General features: G+C 41.1%; 1 protein-coding gene across 2 annotated transcripts in view; it reads right to left on the reverse strand.

Moving 5' to 3' along the window:
• PDE11A (phosphodiesterase 11A) overlaps positions 1–18272 on the reverse strand; it is a 485096-nt gene that overhangs the window by 432383 nt on the left and 34441 nt on the right. Inside the window, exon 1 of one of the 2 annotated variants that reach the window (NM_016953.4) lies at positions 15900–17151. The exons of the other annotated variant lie outside the window; for it this stretch is intronic. Coding sequence (NP_058649.3) covers positions 15900–16811 — 912 coding nt within the window. The 5' untranslated portion in view covers positions 16812–17151. Of the gene's footprint in view, positions 1–15899; positions 17152–18272 lie in introns of those variants that run through there. 2 annotated transcript variants of the gene reach the window in all.

Genomic DNA, 18272 nt, shown 5'->3' on the forward strand with positions numbered 1-18272 from the left:
TAATGGACCAACTAATATTTCTATTGTAATAATAATTATTATTATCATGATTATTTTACTATATACTTCTCCTTAGGAAAATAGTGGTTATCAAAGATGACAGCCCTACAGGAAGAGATAGAAAGAAAAGTCATCTGATGCTCCTTTATTCACGTTTTTCTATTTCAAATATGGAAAAGCTGGCCTTATTATTTAGCTTTGTACACTTATAGAAAATTTGAGAATAAGAAATGCATTCGTAATAAATGGGCTCTTTTTTCTAGGAAAGAAAAAAAAGTATCTTTCATAAACCTGGGGTGATATTTTTTTAAATACGCTTTCACATACAAGCCCAGGGATTATGTTCTGCTAAAAATAATGAAGATGCAGATATTAAGGTTCTGTGTAGTTTTTAGTCAAGAAAAAAAAAGCTCTCAGAAACAGCTACACGGTTGATAAAGTGTGGTTGAGTTTCCCTTCGACGACTTGTCACAGAAGGGCACCAGCAAGTCCTGTGGCTGAATTTTACAAATCACTAAGCAAGTTTTGGAGCGTTAACATATTGAGGGAGAAGAAATATAATAACAAAGGTGATTGTCCCACATCCTTCCTGGTGGATTCAGGAAGATGGAAAATATTTCTTTTCTGTATACAAAAGAAAGAAAAAGAGTCCTGAAGGGGACATTCACCATCAGGAACTTTAGGTTAACAGAGACAAGACCTCAATCAATGAGCCTGAGAATTGCTGGCATGGTAACTCCTGGGTTGCTGCTGCTAAAAGTTCCTGGTAGATACCAGGCTAAGAGATATATCAAAGAAAGAATATTTATTATCGTTCTCATTCTAATAAAAGCCTGGATATTGCATACCAAGTGTTTAAATACAAATTTCCCTGTCACTTGTTCTACTTAGAATGGAAGGGCAAGGTCCTTTTTACATTGCAAGACATTGCAATATAGCAAATAAATTACAACCAAGGGCCACATGGGGTAACAGTTTAAAGTGTAATTAAACTCTGTGTATTTAAAAGAAAAACAAGTATTTCATATATCTGATATTAAAATGGAAAAGAAGGATACACTCACAGGCCACATGGAAGTAAAAAAATAATTGTTTTATGAAAGAGGCCAATGAGATTTAAAAATATGATTGTAAAATTAAAAACTGGGAACAAATACTTATTTTCATATTATATCAGTTTGATAGTAAGGTAAGTAAGGTCATAGAAGGCAAGAAGAGGATTAGGAAAAGAGAAAAGAGAATGAGGAGAAAAAGAGACAGGCAAGATGAAGGATAGGAGGAGGGAGAAGGGGAAAAATGGGGCGCACCAGGGGAAGCCATTACACAAAAGGAACGGCAGGTGTGGGATGTCCAAAAAGAAGAAATTAAGAGGACAAGACAAATAAATGGAAAGAGGAGAGGAAACACAGAAAGACTAAGAGAAAAGAGGAGATGTTGAGATAGCCAGCAGTTCAGGGGACTCTGAAGCATGATAGATAAATGCATTTAACTATTCCTTTGAGCTTTGGAGCATTAACTGTTGTGATCACTGTCTTTGGAAATGTCATTTAGCTGTTTAACAAAACTGGTCACAGATGACTTTAGAAGAATTGCGGGGGTTAAGTAGTTTCTAGGGTAATGGTAGATAATCCAAATAAAAATATCTTGAGTCCAAAAACAAATCTGACAATCTTGGAGGACACTTCCTGGAAGCAAGTAGAGAAGTACAGACTAGAAAAACATAAATATTCTGTGCTCTTGGTTCTTCAGGGGAAAGCAGAAGTGGTGGTGGTGGCAGAGCATTTGCTTTCACCAAAGGCTGAGCTCTGGCTCTTTACATACATTAATGTGCTTCAAGTTACCACCCTTACATCAGAGAGTTCCCAGCCTGACCTTTTATATTCTCCCTAGCAAATCACTCTGCCTTGCCCAAAAGATATCACCACGGTGATTTAAATAAACATATGAAATGCAGAATACATTTTCTTTGCTCCAACATTGCCATTATTAACTACATCATCACCACTGGAGTCACAGTCTTTCTCTCCTGCTCCATCCTTCCAACCTTGTTCATTCCTCTTCTCTACTGGTAATAGATGAATTGCTTGATCCCCTGAACCTTCATGTCTCCAACAGTCACAGCCTGGAGCATGATAGCCCTGCACCTGACCAGTTGACCAGGGAACCTGTCCTACCCTTATGTATGAGAAAATGCAAGGACTCTTGGCCTACAAGTGCCCTAGCTCAGCATTATTTTATTTATTTATTTTGAGATGGAGTCTCACTCTATCACCCAGGCTGGAGTGCAGAGGCGTGATCTCGGCTCACTGCAACCTCCACCCCCTGGGTTCAAGCGATTCTCCTGCCTCAGCCCCCCTAGTAGCTGGGATTACAAGCACCTGCCACCGTGCCCGGCCAATTTTTCTATTTTTAGTAAAGACAGGGTTTCACCATGTTGGCCAGGCTGGTCTTGAACTCCTGAACTCATGATCTACCCACCTTGGCCTCCCAAAGCGCTGGGATTACAGGCGTGAGCCACTGCGCCTGGCCCCTAGCTCAGCATTATTAGCTAAACCCCCTGGTCCTAATCTGACCTTGTAACCCAGTGCTGGTATTTAGGCCACTTACCCTGTGACTGAATTTTTCATTATATTCCTGATATGGTTTGGCTGTGTCCCCAGCCAAATCTCATTTCAAATTGTAACTCCCACAATTCCCACATGTTGTGGAAGGAATCTGGTGGGAGGTGATTGAATTATGGGGGCAGATCTTTCCTGTGTTGTTCTCATGATAGTGAATGAGTCTTCCAAGATCTGATGGTTTTAAAAATGGGAGTTTCCCTGCACAGGCTCTCTCTTTGCCTGCCACCATCCACGTAAAATGTGACTTGCTCCTCCTTGCCTTCTGCCAGGAGTGTGAGGCCTCCTCAGCCACGTGGAACTGTGAGTCCATTAAGCCTCTTTTTCTTCCCAGTCTCGGGTATGTCTTTATCAGCAGCATGAGAATAGACTAATACATTTCCTTTCCCTCATTTATTCATGTAACATATAACATTTTTATTGAGTATCTACCTACTATGTGCTAGGTACCATGCCAAACACAGGGAGTGCTACAAAGCCAAGAAAATCATAGCATCTGCCTTCAAGGAGCTCACAGTCTAATGGAGAGAAAGACAGGTGAGCCAAAATTAAAGCAACCAAAACTGGAATAAATAGCAAGAGTCATACAGATAAATTACTATGGAAGTTAGTGGAAAAAAGAATGAACTTCCATGGAGAGTTTGCCATTCTCATTATTTATCTTGACAAAGTCATAGTCTAGGCCTCATTCCAGTCTGGCTCCATGAGCCTGCATCCAGTGCATTCACCCAGGGTCCTGTGCCAAGAAGAGTCCCCAAACCCACCCTTGAAGTTTAATGCACTACAGTCATTATCTTGAAATTCTTAATAATTTTATTTTGGAATTTTTATTTTGTACATGAGGTCTGATGGAGCATGCCTCAGAGGTTCACATACAGTCCAGCCTCCTGATGGGTTCTCAGCCTCTGCCTCCTGCCCTAGCTCCATGAGCCCTGCCTTGTTCTATTCAGGGCTGCAACAGGGTCAATGAACAGAGATACCTGTGTTCTACTGTTGCCCTCTGTGTCTAGCAGGGTCCAGGGTATGGGTATGGGGAGAGTCAGTGTCCCTGGGTAGGGAAAGGCCCTGGCCATCTTGGGATGTCCCCACCCCAGGCCGGCAGCACCATGGCATGTTCATTAAGTGACTCTATGGGGGCTTCCTGCCCACCCCTGATCCAGGTAGCAAGCTTGTCAGGCACAGAGGTTGTCATCTTTTGGGGCTTGCCCATCTACCATGGGTCGGGTGGCTGCCTGCAGGGGCTGGCCTAGGGAAGGGGAGATTGACTTCCCTGTCCCTAGAAAGACCCCTGTTTTCATTTTTCACTGAGTCCTATAAATTATGTAGCTGGGTCTGATCCCAGTTCTTGACCTTGTAACCCTCAGAGCTTAGAGGCAACAATCTCATTAGCAAATTTCCTACCTCCAGTGTCCTATTTCCCAGAGTCCTATTCTCCAATCCATTCTGAAGAGTGAAAACTGAAACAGGAAGAATCATCTCCCTGTGCCATTCTGATCCCTTTCCCAAAGCCTAACTGGCTTTCCCTCTCAGATTTTGTTATGGGCAGTTAATCATGCACACAAGCACAGGCCTGTGAAAATCATGACCTGCTGGAGAGGACGCTCACCACTTAAAGGCCCTGGACTTTGACGGCATGCAGTGACTGGATGGGACTGGGGCTGGGGCCCACTCTGGGTCAGGTTGAAGCTACATTTGCCAGCCTCCCTGCACTTGGCTATGGCCACATCCCTGGGTTCTAGAGTCTAGAAAGACATTGAAATATGAGCAAGAAATGTGTGCCACTTCCTGACAGGACAGGAAAATCTCTCATTTCATTTCCCATTTTTCTCTGTCTCTTCCCTCATCTGCTGATGGGCTGTTAATGCTGACAGCACCCTTTGAACCCCTGTGTTGAGGCTCAGGAAGGAAAGAATCCTCTCTTGGAGGAGAGCCATCTATCAATCAGGAAGACTGTGCTGAGCCTCAGAAGAGTGAGAAATGAGCTTCCATTGTGTTACTCCTGTGTGCCACTGAGCTTTGGAAGGGTATCTGAGAAAGCAAATATGGTTTCTTTAAGTAATGATTAGTACATATATGGAAAAAAAATAAAAGAAAACAAAAAGAGAAGAGAAAAATTAGTCATAAGCCCACACTCAGAGATTACCTCTATCAATGTTTTGGCATATTGACCTCCACCCTTTGACCATGCAGTATTCTAATTTCTTTTTACTGAGCCCAAACAAAGTGACAAACAGTGTTAAGCACTTTTCAGGTTTAATCTTGGCAACCTCTTAAGACAGAAGGTATCATTATCCTCATTTTAGAATTGCAGAAACTAGCAACTAGAGAGGTAAAATATGGCACAGCCCTTGGATATGGTGGAACTGGGAATCGAATTCGGTCTGATTCTGAAAATGATGCACTCCACCATTTCCCTTATGCGTCTGTTGTTACTGTTAAGAAAACTGAGATTCTGTTGAATAAACTTTGTTCACTTAATAGTATTCTCTGAGCAATCTCCTATGATTAAATATTCCCTTTTATAATATATCATAATTGATTCATCCAACCCTCTAGTTGGATGTTTGGATTGATAATTTATTATTATTATAGATAATACTGCAACAAGTATTCATATAGACAAATCTTTGCACATACCCATAAAATTTTTCTTAGCATGACTGGAATTGTTACATAAGCCATTGTAAATATTCTTTTTTTTTTTTTTTTTTTTTTTTGAGACAGAGTCTCACTCTGTCACCCAGGCTGGAGTGCAATGGTATGATCTTGGCTTATTGTAACTTCTGCCTCCTGGGTTCAAACAATTCTCCTGCCTCAGCCTCCCAAGTAGCTGGGACTACAGGTGCGTGCCACCACACTTGGGTAATTTTTTGTATTTTTAGTAGAGGCGAAGTTTCACCATATTGGCCAGGCTGGAGAAGTTGTGACTATTCTTAAGGCAGTATACGGTTCTTGCCAAATTATCCTATATCAGTTGTGGTTGGCAGAGTCGGGCAGTGGGGGTGTGATTTTACTACCAGGGGATATTTGACAATGTCTGGAGACTTTTTAAATTGTCCAGACTAGGCAAGTATCTAGTGGAGAGAGGCAAGGGATGCTACTAAACAACCATCCTACAATGCACAGGTCACCCTACCTCCAACAAAGAATTATCTGTCCAAGATGCCAATAATACCCCTGTTGAGAAAGCTAACCCACATAATGACCTCATCAGTGTGTGTCAGTCTTGAGACAAAATAAAGTTTATAATAAAGTCTCTTCCACTTACTCAAACATGATCTACCAAGCGTCTACTCTATGCCAGATCCCGTGGTAGGTACTAAGTTAGAATTCAAGCATGAGGGTGAGATAAATAGGGAAGAGTAAAGAGAGGAGGTGGCTCGGAAGCAAAGTTTGACTTCACTTGGTAGTAAGAAAGCATATCTATTCCATTTTATACCTTCATATCTTTCTATATAATTTTCTATTAAATTATTTCCATGCGATTCTTCATTAAATATATAACCTCACAAGGTAGTCACAAGAAATGATTAATATTGCTATATTGCTACCTACAGGAATGGTTGATCCTGATTCTTTTTAGGCTATTTCTGAAGAACAAAATTAGTTTTTTCTTCAACAGAAACCCAAAGTCTTAAGTATGAAACATTCTTATAATGACAGTAGCTCTTCTTCCCCCAGTTGACCTTTTTGTTCTTTAACATAGCAAATAATCTTAATTTGGTTAAGTCAGAGGTAGAAAAATATTTTCCTGCCCTTTATATTTTAAAACTCCTTTCTATCTATTCACAGCAGGCATGAGTAAAAGAAAGGATCAAATCAGAGGCTGTTCCTCTTGTTCATTCATTTTAAAAATGAATGGCAAAAGAGATTGGGGAGAGATGCCTCAGCTTCCAGCTGTTCGTCTCCCTGCTTGGTTAATTCATGGCACATTGGCTGCCACTGGTTCCTCTCTTTGCTTCTCTGCATGATAATTTTAGGGTTATGATAAAAAGGAGGGCTATGGCTAGGGCTGTCTTGGGCTTTCAAAGCCAATGATCAAAGATGGGGAAGTGAGAGAATCTGACTCCAGTCTCATATACCTGAAGACAGAAAAAAAAAAAAAAAAAGAAGCTACCTTAGCAGTTGCACAGAGTAACAGAGTGTGCACCCTCTCACTTAGTGGTTCTCTGGAAGCAAAAGGAAAAAGAGGCTAACAGGGAAGTGTGAGTAGCCATAAAGGTGGCCATTAGAAAGAGGGAATTAGAGCTTCACTTTTCCAGAGGACTTTATTCAGAAAAGAACAAAAATCTGGACTGGTTTCTTGAGCAACCCTGGGATAATCTTTCCCACAGTGTCCCAAGCCTGCAGTTCTTAATGCCATTACAGCTGTTATGAAAACTTTAAATATGTAATCATGCATATTAAGTTGCCAAATACCCATAAAAACTGTTAGTTCATTAAACTGTGCATACCCATTTAAATGAAAAAGGAGTACCATTTAATTTTTTAATTGAAAAATGTAAAGGTTAAAACATTCTGGTAATCTGATAAAGTAGTACATGCAACATAAATGCAAAAATGTAATGCTAGTATTAAAAGTATCATCATTTCCAAACACAAAAACATAAAGAAAGCCTATGTTTTATATAAGGAATAGTCAACACATCTGCAATAAAATTGTGTCATAGATATACTTAGCCTACTAAATTATTAGATCTTGATTATAGGCATGAGATTTAGTGTTCATTTATTCTTTAATGCCAGCTGCTAGAATTGATTTAGTTTGCAAGTGCTTGAGCCAAATACCATCATTTTTAAAAATTTTTAATATTTTGACAACAAAACTACAAATCATCAACTTGGAGATTTCATATGGGGATTTATTTCACAGAGACCCAATGTATACTTCGGAAATTGCATTTTGTACTAGAAAAATAGGCATGTTGATCAATTGTAACAAGAAATTTAACATATCTGTGTTTGTCAAAGGTAGAATATTTATTATGGACTCTAAATCCTGACAGCATAATATTCATTTAAAGGATTTGATCTCTTTACATTTTAAAGTAATCATTTCTTGTGTTTCAGGGATTATGTATGTGTGGTACTGTGTTAAACAGTACCTAGGATTTGTTTTAATGGGGTATGGTAAAGCAAACACAGAAATGACTGTCATGAAGAAAGTTCATACTCACAGACCCTAGAAACGGGAGGCATGGCACACTGTGCAGGGCCGCATAGGGAAAGGCCAGGGTCAGTCCAGAGGCAGAAACAGGGCAGAGCATGGCACAGAACCTTTACTAGGGTCTTCAGGGAAGGATGAACTAGACAGGGTAGGTAGCTGAGTAAGTTTAGGATTGGCTAGTTTGAATAATTTTGGCAAACTATGGGCTATAGGAGTGGTCTTTAGTTGTTGGGTACCTGGCCCTGGGTGATTTAGGGCAAGGAGAATATTGTCTGGGTGTATGAGATTTTGATAAAGGAGATAGTTAGGGCTCTGGATCGGCTGATTTATATATCAGAGGTACCCTCAAAAGGGAGTTCTTCACTCTCTCCAGAAATTAGCTAGCCCTGGGAGGGGCATTCTCTCCAGGGTCGTAAGCCTCAAATGCTAGAACATCAAGAACACAGAAAATGTGGAATTATAGTCAATACAGGTACTACCACATTTTAGATCAAAACTCTCCTATTATGTTCAAAGCCCTTTCCAAAGACAACACTGTGAATAAAGCCTTCTGGACTGTGTATTTTAAAACATTAATAAGGCCTTACATTTCTGACTTTATCCATTGGAAAATGCTTTTCCATTATCTCATTGCCATCTAATGATTAGATTTGATGATTAGAGGTTTACAAAATACTATGGGGTAGACATGTCTGAACATATTATCCCTATATTATAGCTAAAAAACTAAGGCAGAACTGGGAATAGAACCACAATTCCTGACTGTAAGTCTAGAGCATGTTCTGTCACACTCTGATGCCTTTTACAGTTTAACAATGTTATTAGTAACCTAAGAATTCAATTGTCAGGCAAATGGATTTAATGAGGTTGTACAGAGAACAGGTTGCACAAACTAGATCAAAGTCACCTCTTCGCTGTAGGTGTGTTCGGCCAAGGTTACCTTTTATGGACTGTCTTTGGGGATACAGAATCTCACGAATAAACAGAATAACTTGAAGAGAATAAGGGAGTCAGCTCCCTCACTTACCAACGGAGTCACTTTAAGCAAATTACTTAAACTGTCCAAGCCTCAGTTTCTCCTTTTGTAAAATGGGTGTGGTCATAGTTACCTCAGGGGATTGTTGAGAGGATTAAAAGAGACAATGCTTGCTAACGAGCTGTGTGGCTCAAAGTTAGTACTCCATAAATGAAGTTACTATTCATCCACAGTGAAGCTTCCCTCTACCTTCTGTTATTATGTTAAAAAAAAAAAAAAGTAGACACCCTGCCGGGCTCAGTGGCACACATTTATAGTCCCAGCTACTCATGTGGTTGAGGTGGGAGGATCACTTGAGCCCAGGAGTTTTAATTCAGCCTGGGCAACATAGTAAGATCTTGTCTCTAAAAAAAAGAAAAAAATAGACACCCTAAAGAGGTATCTCATAGGTTTCCCCTTTTTTTTTCTTCAGGAAAAAAAGATTTTTTCTCCTGAATTTGCGACAGCCTTTAAGCTATATTTTATGATAGGAAACATAATTTGTCATTAATATATGAAACCACTGTTCAGTCAAAAACAACCAATTAATGAAAAAAACCTCAGGAATTATAGAAAGTATATTTTTTAATGCCAGAAAACCTTCTTTACTATTTTAATCCAAATAAATAAATATAGCCTCAATGCCTATAAATGACCAGGAACTGAAACTTCTCCTAAAATATTAGCAACTTAACCCACTCTTTTATGATTAAACTGCCTTTATCTGATTAAAATTTCACTTTCCAAAAGAATGTGGTTATATGGCAAAATACTACCCTTAAAATAAGCAGCAAGCAATGTACCTCAAGGACCTTGTTGACTTTCCTATAAAACAACTAAAAGCTGTTTCAGAGAAAAGTTTGTATGACTCTTCAACATTATATTCAACATGAAACCCTAACTTCCAAATTAAGCCAGGCTTGTCAATAAACAGGTGACCCAAACCTCAGGAACCAAAATAAATTGGTCAGAATAGTAAACATTTAGCTTATGGGTTGGGAAAAAAATTTAGTTAACCTTAAATTACCTTTACATGATTCTGTAGGAACTGTGCCTTTCTGTAATCTATCCTCATGTACAAAGCAGCAAATGTAATTTGTCCTTGTGTTTATCACGATCATGTGTCTGTCAGGAAGAGAGGCTGAAATAGCAGAGTTTCCTACTTCAAACACAAAATCAACTCTGGTTCTGGGCTAGTGAACATGTTTGCGCGCTTGGGGGAATTTTTTTTAAACACTGTGCAAAGCTGGAATAAGATTTCATGAAACTCCTTTATAATATCAGTGTTGGAGTAGGATCAACATCTGCCTTTTTAGACAAATCTCAGCAACTCAATAACATGAGTGTAGACCATATCTATCAGCACTGGCTCATCAGGGAACGAAGCACTCTCATCGCTGAATTTTCTAGACACCCAAAATTAATTCCTCCTGAGGCAAACACTTTCAATGTGATTATTTCAATGGAGATTATTCCAAAAAGAAAACTGAAATTCAATGAAGTACTAAATATTGTTATTCATATTATTAGAAAATATATATAATAAATATATATCAGCATATTATAATGCATTCTTAAATACAATTTTATGTATAATTTTTTGTGTTGTTTTCCAACTCCTCTCTTCAAGGATAAGGCACTCAGCTCTCTCTTCTCATATCATGAGAAGGCAAGCAGGTTCTAAATGAGCAAAGATGGAGAAGAAGTAGTCCTGGCAGAAAGGATGCAAAATACAGGAATAGAAAAGCACTATCTGGGCATTGAAAACAGCCTATAATTTAATTAGGATGGTGCTGAGGCCACATGAAGGGCTGAAGTAGACAAGGCTGGATTAAGATTGAACTTCTCTACCTTAGACTCCATATGACTCAGATTCAGGGCCCGCTTCGTGAGCATGTGACCAGTGCAGTGGCATGAAAGACCCCTGCTTGAGGTTTAATGCTATGCTGTGCGAGATTCTTAATACTTTTTATCATTGAATTTGTGCTTTGTAAGCATAGTCCAATGGAACAATGGAGTATGAGCCCCAGAGTCCAGAACCTTGGTTCACATACAGTCTCCCCTCCCACTGCCTGCCCAGGACTGGTTTTTGGCCACCTGATCCCCGCTCCATGGTGTCCCAGGCCTCACCCATCCTTCCCAGTCTCACCTCTGCCCTTAGCAACCAGGTCACATGGGCTGAGGGAGAGGCCCACATTCATGTCTGCCATTGCACTCTGCTCTTAGATGGGGTCTAGGGAGGGTACGGAGAAGGGCAGGTGCATGCCCCACACCACCTCAGGGAAGTGCAAGGATGTGGCCCTCCTCACCCAGAGCTGGCAGCAGCATGGCACCTCAGGCAGGCAATTCAGCGGGGGCCCCTTGCCCACCTTCAATCCAAATACTGAGAATGCCTCAGCCTAGAGGTTGCAATCCCTTCGGACTCTCAGACTGGAGCTTGCTATGGATTAGGGGACAGACTCTTGGGAAGGGGAGACTGACTTCTTTAACCCCGGCCAGAGTCCTGCTTTACCATCTTGCACTAGGCTCCACAGATTATGTAGCTGGCCCTACTTAGAATCTTTCCCCTTAACCCAGCTTCTCTCCCTGTTCTGGATAAAGGCATCACACTTCCTCATATCTCCTGGGTTTAGAATCTGAGTCATCATTGCCCTCCCTCCCTCCTTTCCCAAATCCAAACCCACAGGCCACTTCCCATCTGTCTCCTTCTGCCCATTCCCACTGTTCATGCTTGAGTTTAATTGTTCATCATGGCTCCACCAGACCATGACAGTAGACTCCTAATCATTTCCACAGCTTTGAGCCTCTCCTTGTTCAATCCATTCAGCTGCTGCCACCAGGTTACCCAAAACACCACTTTGATCATGCTAAGATATTTTTAATGGCTCCCTGTGGCCTACTCTTGGTGAAGTTCAAACTCTTTAGCTAGGTGTTCAAAGTCCTTCCTTCTTTTGTCCTCACCTTACTTTTGCAAATCATTCTATGACAATAGAATGTCATATATATGCAATATGCAATATTTTGGCCAAATTAAACCACTCACTCTCCCTTATACATATTTTATGCTTGGTCATCACTGTGTCTCTGCTAAAGCTATTTTGTTGGACTTGGAATCACTTCTCCCTACCCCACAACTATCTCTAACTGGAAAATCTAATCCTATTTATAGCTGGAATGGTGCCTCCTCCATGAAGTCTTTCATTATGAGCCCAGTCACAAAGTGACTCCATACTTGTCCAAGACTAACATCATTTAGTTTGTACAGCTTGGTACTAGTTTTTTGTGGACAGTACATGGCTGTCTACTGTACACCCTTGGAGAGCAGAAGCATATCCTGCCCTTTGTACACCGATAGGCCCTCTACCCAAGGCCTTGGGGATAATGGGCTCTTTCTGTGCATGTTTGTTGGAACTAATGAATAAATGAAGCTGTTGTGTAAACAGATCAGGCCTTCTGAAAGGCAGGCGCACCTGTAACCCTTCAGCGTCATCCCCTTTCCTGCTCTCAGTTCATCTAACAAAACATCCTGCTGCTTTTCACACCCAAGCCCATCAAACACCTGTATTATCATTATCAACACTGACAAAAATTCACCTCACGATTTTTATGAATGTTTAAAGTGCTATATTCTGAATGCTTAGAATAATCTCAGAGAACACCTGTTACTTGAATGCTCTTATTTTCAACCTCTTGAGGGCAATTTTTTCATTACTATATTAAAGTGGACTGTTAAATAACTTATAACTATCTGGGGAAAGGTATACTGCAGTCACTATGATCTGGACTGGATACCTAAAAATGAATGTTTTTTTTTTTTCCATTTACGATTTATTTTTTTCCTAATTTCAAGTCTGTCTTTTAGGACTAATTGAGGAAAGTAATGCAAAATAATGAAATAAACTGAGGGGTTTTGGGCTGTCAGAACTTCTATTCAATTTTAGCATTTCATTAAATATTCTACCCTTGACTCCAGAATGCCACGCTTATCATCATAATTTTGTCTCTTCAATGCCTTTCTCTTGCCCATATTAGGAACCCCCAAGAGTATCATCAATATAATTATTAAATGATTAAATTTGGAAATTCTGTGTGATAAAAAAAAAACCTTACCTCCTGAAGAAAAAATACACTGTCTGAAGCTGAGCAAGAAACACCTTAAAAATATAGTAGTTAACAAAGAATCAGGAAGGATGGTTACATATTTACATAGAAACTTCAAGATGCTTGCATATATGGTACAAATTAAAACATCATCACAAAAGAACATGTATTTGGAAGGTTGTCGGTTTTCATTAAGAGAAATCTGTAACACCAGGAAATGCAAAGGATGGAGGAAAATGCTAGAACTGGGGAAGGATGCAACATCCTTCCCTACAACAACCCTATAAAAAGTTTATACTGCATGTCTTACTAACAGGAACAAAGTATAGAACTTTTGATAGGCTAGGATATAGTGTTACCAAACCACATTTAGGGACATTTTAAGTAGAGAATGGAAGGATAGATATTTTCATGTTCCTTGAATGTAAACCTGGTTTCAAAATACTTAATTTAAGGGTGGAGCATGGAAAAGATTAGGCTGGTCAAAATGTGCTGACTTCACATCTCAGTTCCAGATAAGGAGAAAAACAATATAAAATAAGGTAAACAGAAAGAAAAAGAATATCAGCAAACTAGGTATCATCATTATCTTCATAAACTGTAACCATTTCCTGGGTAATTGCAATGTACCAGATATTATTTTAGGGGCTTTGACACAATATCTCATTTTATTGAGATAAACAAAAATAATCTTTGCTAGGTAGGTATTATTGTCCCCATTTTATGGGTGAGGAAATTGAGGCTGTGAGAGATTAAGAAATTCTCCAAGGTCACACCATTGGTGACTGTAGCGTCCCATAATAAAGAAAAAAAAGTAGCTTTATCAAAGAAGAGTAGCATAAGTAAAATGAAGAAAACTACACCAAGTTAAAAATACAGAGATACATAAAAGAAGCCAATGGAAAAAGAAAAGAGAAACTTTCTAACCAAATGAAAACAAGGTAAACCAAGGGTAAATTCCCAACCCATACAGCACGTTTCCCCTACCTGCCTTTTGCCAGTCCTCCCAACAACCCAGTCCCCTTTTGTGGCCATCATTACTACTCTGGGGGGAAAAGGGAAAAAAAAAAACTCCTCTTTCCCAATGTCAGCTTCCAAAAATATTAAAAGGCAACTTTGCTTTACACTCTGCAGAGTAAGGGTAGAGCCCACAGGAAGCATCAGCTGCTGAAAACCTGCTTTCCCCTGCCTGTGATGACACCTACAGCCACAATTCTAGACAGCAGCAAGACAAGTTAACTGTTGAAGAGGCTAAGAATTATGCTCTTAAAGAAAGGACAGTATGAAATAAAGGTTAGGGCCTGAAAGAGGACGGTAAGAAATAAAAGCTATAGAAATGGGAGAAAATCAATTGGGGATGAAGTTCAAAAGTAAGGGCAATAAAGAGAAAAGGCTGCAACCCTAGGCTGGAATAAGTATCATTGAACTAGGAAGGGATTTTTCTTTAGCCCAAGCATACAAAAAGGATGTGGGAAAAAAAAATTGGAAAGAAGAAAATGTGTGATTGTTTTATTTCTCTAGAAATAATAATTTGTGACAAAATTTTTATAGAATCTTCAACATATGAATTATTAAATGCTTATATTTCTTCTCATAGCTTTCTAGGATTGTAGAGGAATAAACACTTGTTGAAAACCACTCATTGTTGCTTCACCTACACCTTTTAAAGTTTCCAAGAAAGATACAATGAATAATGCACTTAGTCTATAATAAAAAGTTAACAAAAATGGTATTTTGAGAAACATCCTTTAATATTAAAGTGTTAGGTTGGCAGATATCTCACAAAAATATGAAACTTGGCTTTAGTACAAGCTAGTCAATTTTCTATGTAAAATTGTCAACTTTCAGATGAAATAGATAAAATTTTACCTTTAGTGTCCTTCCCACTCTTTTTGCTATTCTCAGCAACAGCAACTAAACTCTAGAGAAACATGTAGCTCCCTGAGACCACTGGAAGAAGTACTTACCAGATGACTATAAAACTTTCCTAACCAAGGATGAGAATTTTTAATTCTTATGAACCCTGAAGAAGTCTCATAGAAAATAACATCAAGTCTCATCATATTCAGTGAATAAGTACTGAAGAAATTAGAATGGACTGGTTTCAGATCCAGCATCTAATATCAAGTTCAAAATGCTGTGAAAATGAAAGGCTCAGAAAACCCAGATGAGAGCATGTTGGGTTTCCTTTTCCACTTGAAACTAACATGTTTACCCTGCTGATGGCTTTGGAGTTGCTAAAAAATTATCAATATTTGTTGTTTGTTTCATAAATTAAAAACCTACTTGCTCAGTCCTATCAAAGCTGACTACAGATAATGCTATATTTGAGCCTAAAGATAACTAGCCCCTCTATCTGTCCAATCTTTCTAATCTTAATAACAGAAACAGTTACGATACTAAGAAGGCACAAGTGAGTCACAGGACCATTTTTCCCCTGACATTCCTCTTCTTTTCCTCTTTTCCCTAGCTTACCACTTGTGCAACTCTAATCTAGAGAAGGGAACAGGGAAGTAGTTAAGCACTTTGTTCTCTTTCCAATATTGACTTAGAGAATGAAGCATTATGGTCCCCAAAAGACACCAAAGACACCAAAATGCTCATCTTAACACCGGAATTCTGGAGCACACATCTTTTTCTAGCAACTCACAAACACATACTAAAACCACACATTGACATATTAAAGAGAGGAGGAGGGAGCTGTGGATGCCAGACCAGCCAAAGTGTCAGTGTTAAAGACAAAGTGTCTTGACAGAGAAATACGTGGTGTTATTGGGTGATATATTAACTTCCCACAAGCCATTGGGTGTTAAGAAAGGACCAACACATCAAAGATGCCGTAGTAACATTCTAACTAGTCTAAACTCGGGAATTTAAATAGCAAAATTTGTATTGTAAAGAGCCTAAATTAATGTGTTCCTGGATGCCAGATGATAACCGAAGGCTTATCTCCCAAGCCAATGGGGCTCTGGGAGAAGGGGACAATGCAAAGTCCTACCTGGTAGGCATCAGGAATGTTGACCGTTTCTCCATGCTCCCCGACATAGCCAATGATACCTTTGCCCCAGGGGACCTGCACCTCATTTGAGTTCTCTGTGCTGCTGCAAGGCAGCAGAGGTGTTCCTGCATGCACATCAAAGAATTTGGAGACCAAGGTCTTCTTGCCAGCAGCTGCCCCTTCCACCAGGAAAAGAGAGCAGCGGTCAGCATCCACCATAAGGCAGACAAAGATGAGAATCTTGTAGCTCAGGCTGGTGAGGTCAAGGTCATTGGAGATATCTTTGACCAATTCCAGAAAGAACTGACGCTCATTATGCTTTTTCAGATGGCACTTGTAGTCGATGGCTGTAGGGGGATACCGAGGCAGATTCACTCTCGATTCCAGCAGCGCACTGAGAATATGGGCTGTGGTGGGGGGCAGGGAGCTTGCCTTCCGGAGAAGTGCCCTCCGTCGTACACTACTCAGGGGTTCCTGAGCCCGGGAGGTCACCTGTTCATCGTAGGTCCTGTTCACGTGGATGGCCTTGGAGCGGGCAAAACTCTTCCTTAGCTCTTTCTGAGAAGCTCTCCGCTGCAGGTTCCCATCGCCCCTGCTGCCACCGGCCCAGCTGGGACTCAAGGGAACCCCACCACAGTCCCCGCCACCGGGAAGGGGCTGGCTGTGGGCAGAGCCATTTGGTCCAGTGCCACCACCAACGCTGCTGCCACCTCTGCAGGTGCTGTGAGCCAAGCTGCTGGTACCAGCCAAAGAGGGCCTTGGACCTAAAGCCCCCTGACCCTGACTGTGCCTCTGCAGCCACTTTTCAACCATCTCCTGCTTCCCCTTCCGCATCAAGTAATCTTCAAACAACTCTGGGTGCCTGTCCAGGAAAGTTTCCACCTCCCCAAAGTCCAGGCGGGAGGCTGCCATGGTCCCAGACAGCTTTCCTTGCCTGTTTACACGTGAACCAAATGTTTTCCTGCCCCGAGGCCTCTAGCTGTTCCTGCACATGTTCACCCCCACCAGTATTCCCAGTTCAGCGCCACCTCCCCTGGAGATTATTCCCAGCAGTGGAATCTGGGAGATGCCCCTTCCTTCTCTGGCTCAGAGTGGCTGGCGCCGACCCCACCCCGTGGTCCTGCTACTCCTGCTCCGCACAGGTGCCCAGCACTGAGCTGCCGCCGCTGCCCCGGCTCCTGTTCCGGAAACCCGAGCTATCGCTGCTCCTGTTCTGGCTGCCGCCGCTGCTGCTGGAACTGCTGCTGTAACCGGATGAGTGGACCGCTGTGACAGGGAGGTAGGGCAGGACACGCCCCTGAGTGAGGCACGGAGCCTGGAGGGAGGAGAGAAGAGGAGGGAGCCGCGGACGCCAGACCAGCCAAAGTCCACGGCCCAGGCTGCCAGGCGGTTCCTGGAAGAGTCTCTGGACGGCCGGAATCGGCGCCTGGGTACAGGACTCCTGATTGGAACACGATTAGAAGAGGGAAACGCACCTTGTTCCTTCCCCGCTTCTTGCTCCCTTACCTCCCCAACCCTCCCTACTCACCGCGCCCCTTAATCCGTTAGCGTTTCGAGGAGGCCCAGCGGGAGCCCAGTGGGAGTCCGAGATACAAGTGTTGATGTTTTGCAGGGATCTGAACACAGAAGCGGACTCCGAGGAATCGAGAGTGTCGTTCACCCTCAGAGACAGGCAGGGTTATTTTTCTGGGATGTGACTGTGGATTGTTGGTTCCCAGGATTCCTGGGACTTGCTCACTAACACTGCCCAGCGCCTTGTGGGTGCTCAGTAAATATTAATGGAATGGCATTTCCCCGAAAATAGCAAATAAAGTTTCCGATGTGAGCAATTCATGACTTTAACCAAATTCATGTACCTGGGGCAGAGACAGATTACACAGAGAAAGGGTGTAAAACACAGTACAGAAAAAGAGTTTACCAGGTAGAGGAAGTAAGTGCTGAAGAGTCTGGAGTATTTAATTAACAGCAGGGAGACCAGCTAGGAGACAGTAAACCAAGCATAGAATCCTGGTAATTTGGAGCTGCTGGTTTCCAAGAAGGTGAGTGGTGATCAAGATTTAAAAAGAAAAAAAACAACGTTTAGCATAGTGCCTGGCACATAAAAAGTGCTCAGTAAATGTTAGCTGTTGTATTACTTTTGTTATTATTATTATTCTAAGGTGACGATGTATGGAAACTTTACTGAATGTAGCTATGTCTCTGGTCACTTGAGTGATCTATCAGTAAAGATGGTTAGTGATATGTTGAAACTGGCTTGTAAGGACTCACAAGTGCCTATTTTAAAATCTCTTTCCAATTCTGTATTCAGTCACATCATGGAGTTTGCAATCAGTCACAACGGGAATGTTTACACCATGGAAATCAGCAAATGTT

The sequence above is a fragment of the Homo sapiens genome, chromosome 2 (genome assembly GCF_000001405.40).
Source record: "Homo sapiens chromosome 2, GRCh38.p14 Primary Assembly".
Lineage (NCBI taxonomy): Eukaryota > Metazoa > Chordata > Mammalia > Primates > Hominidae > Homo > Homo sapiens.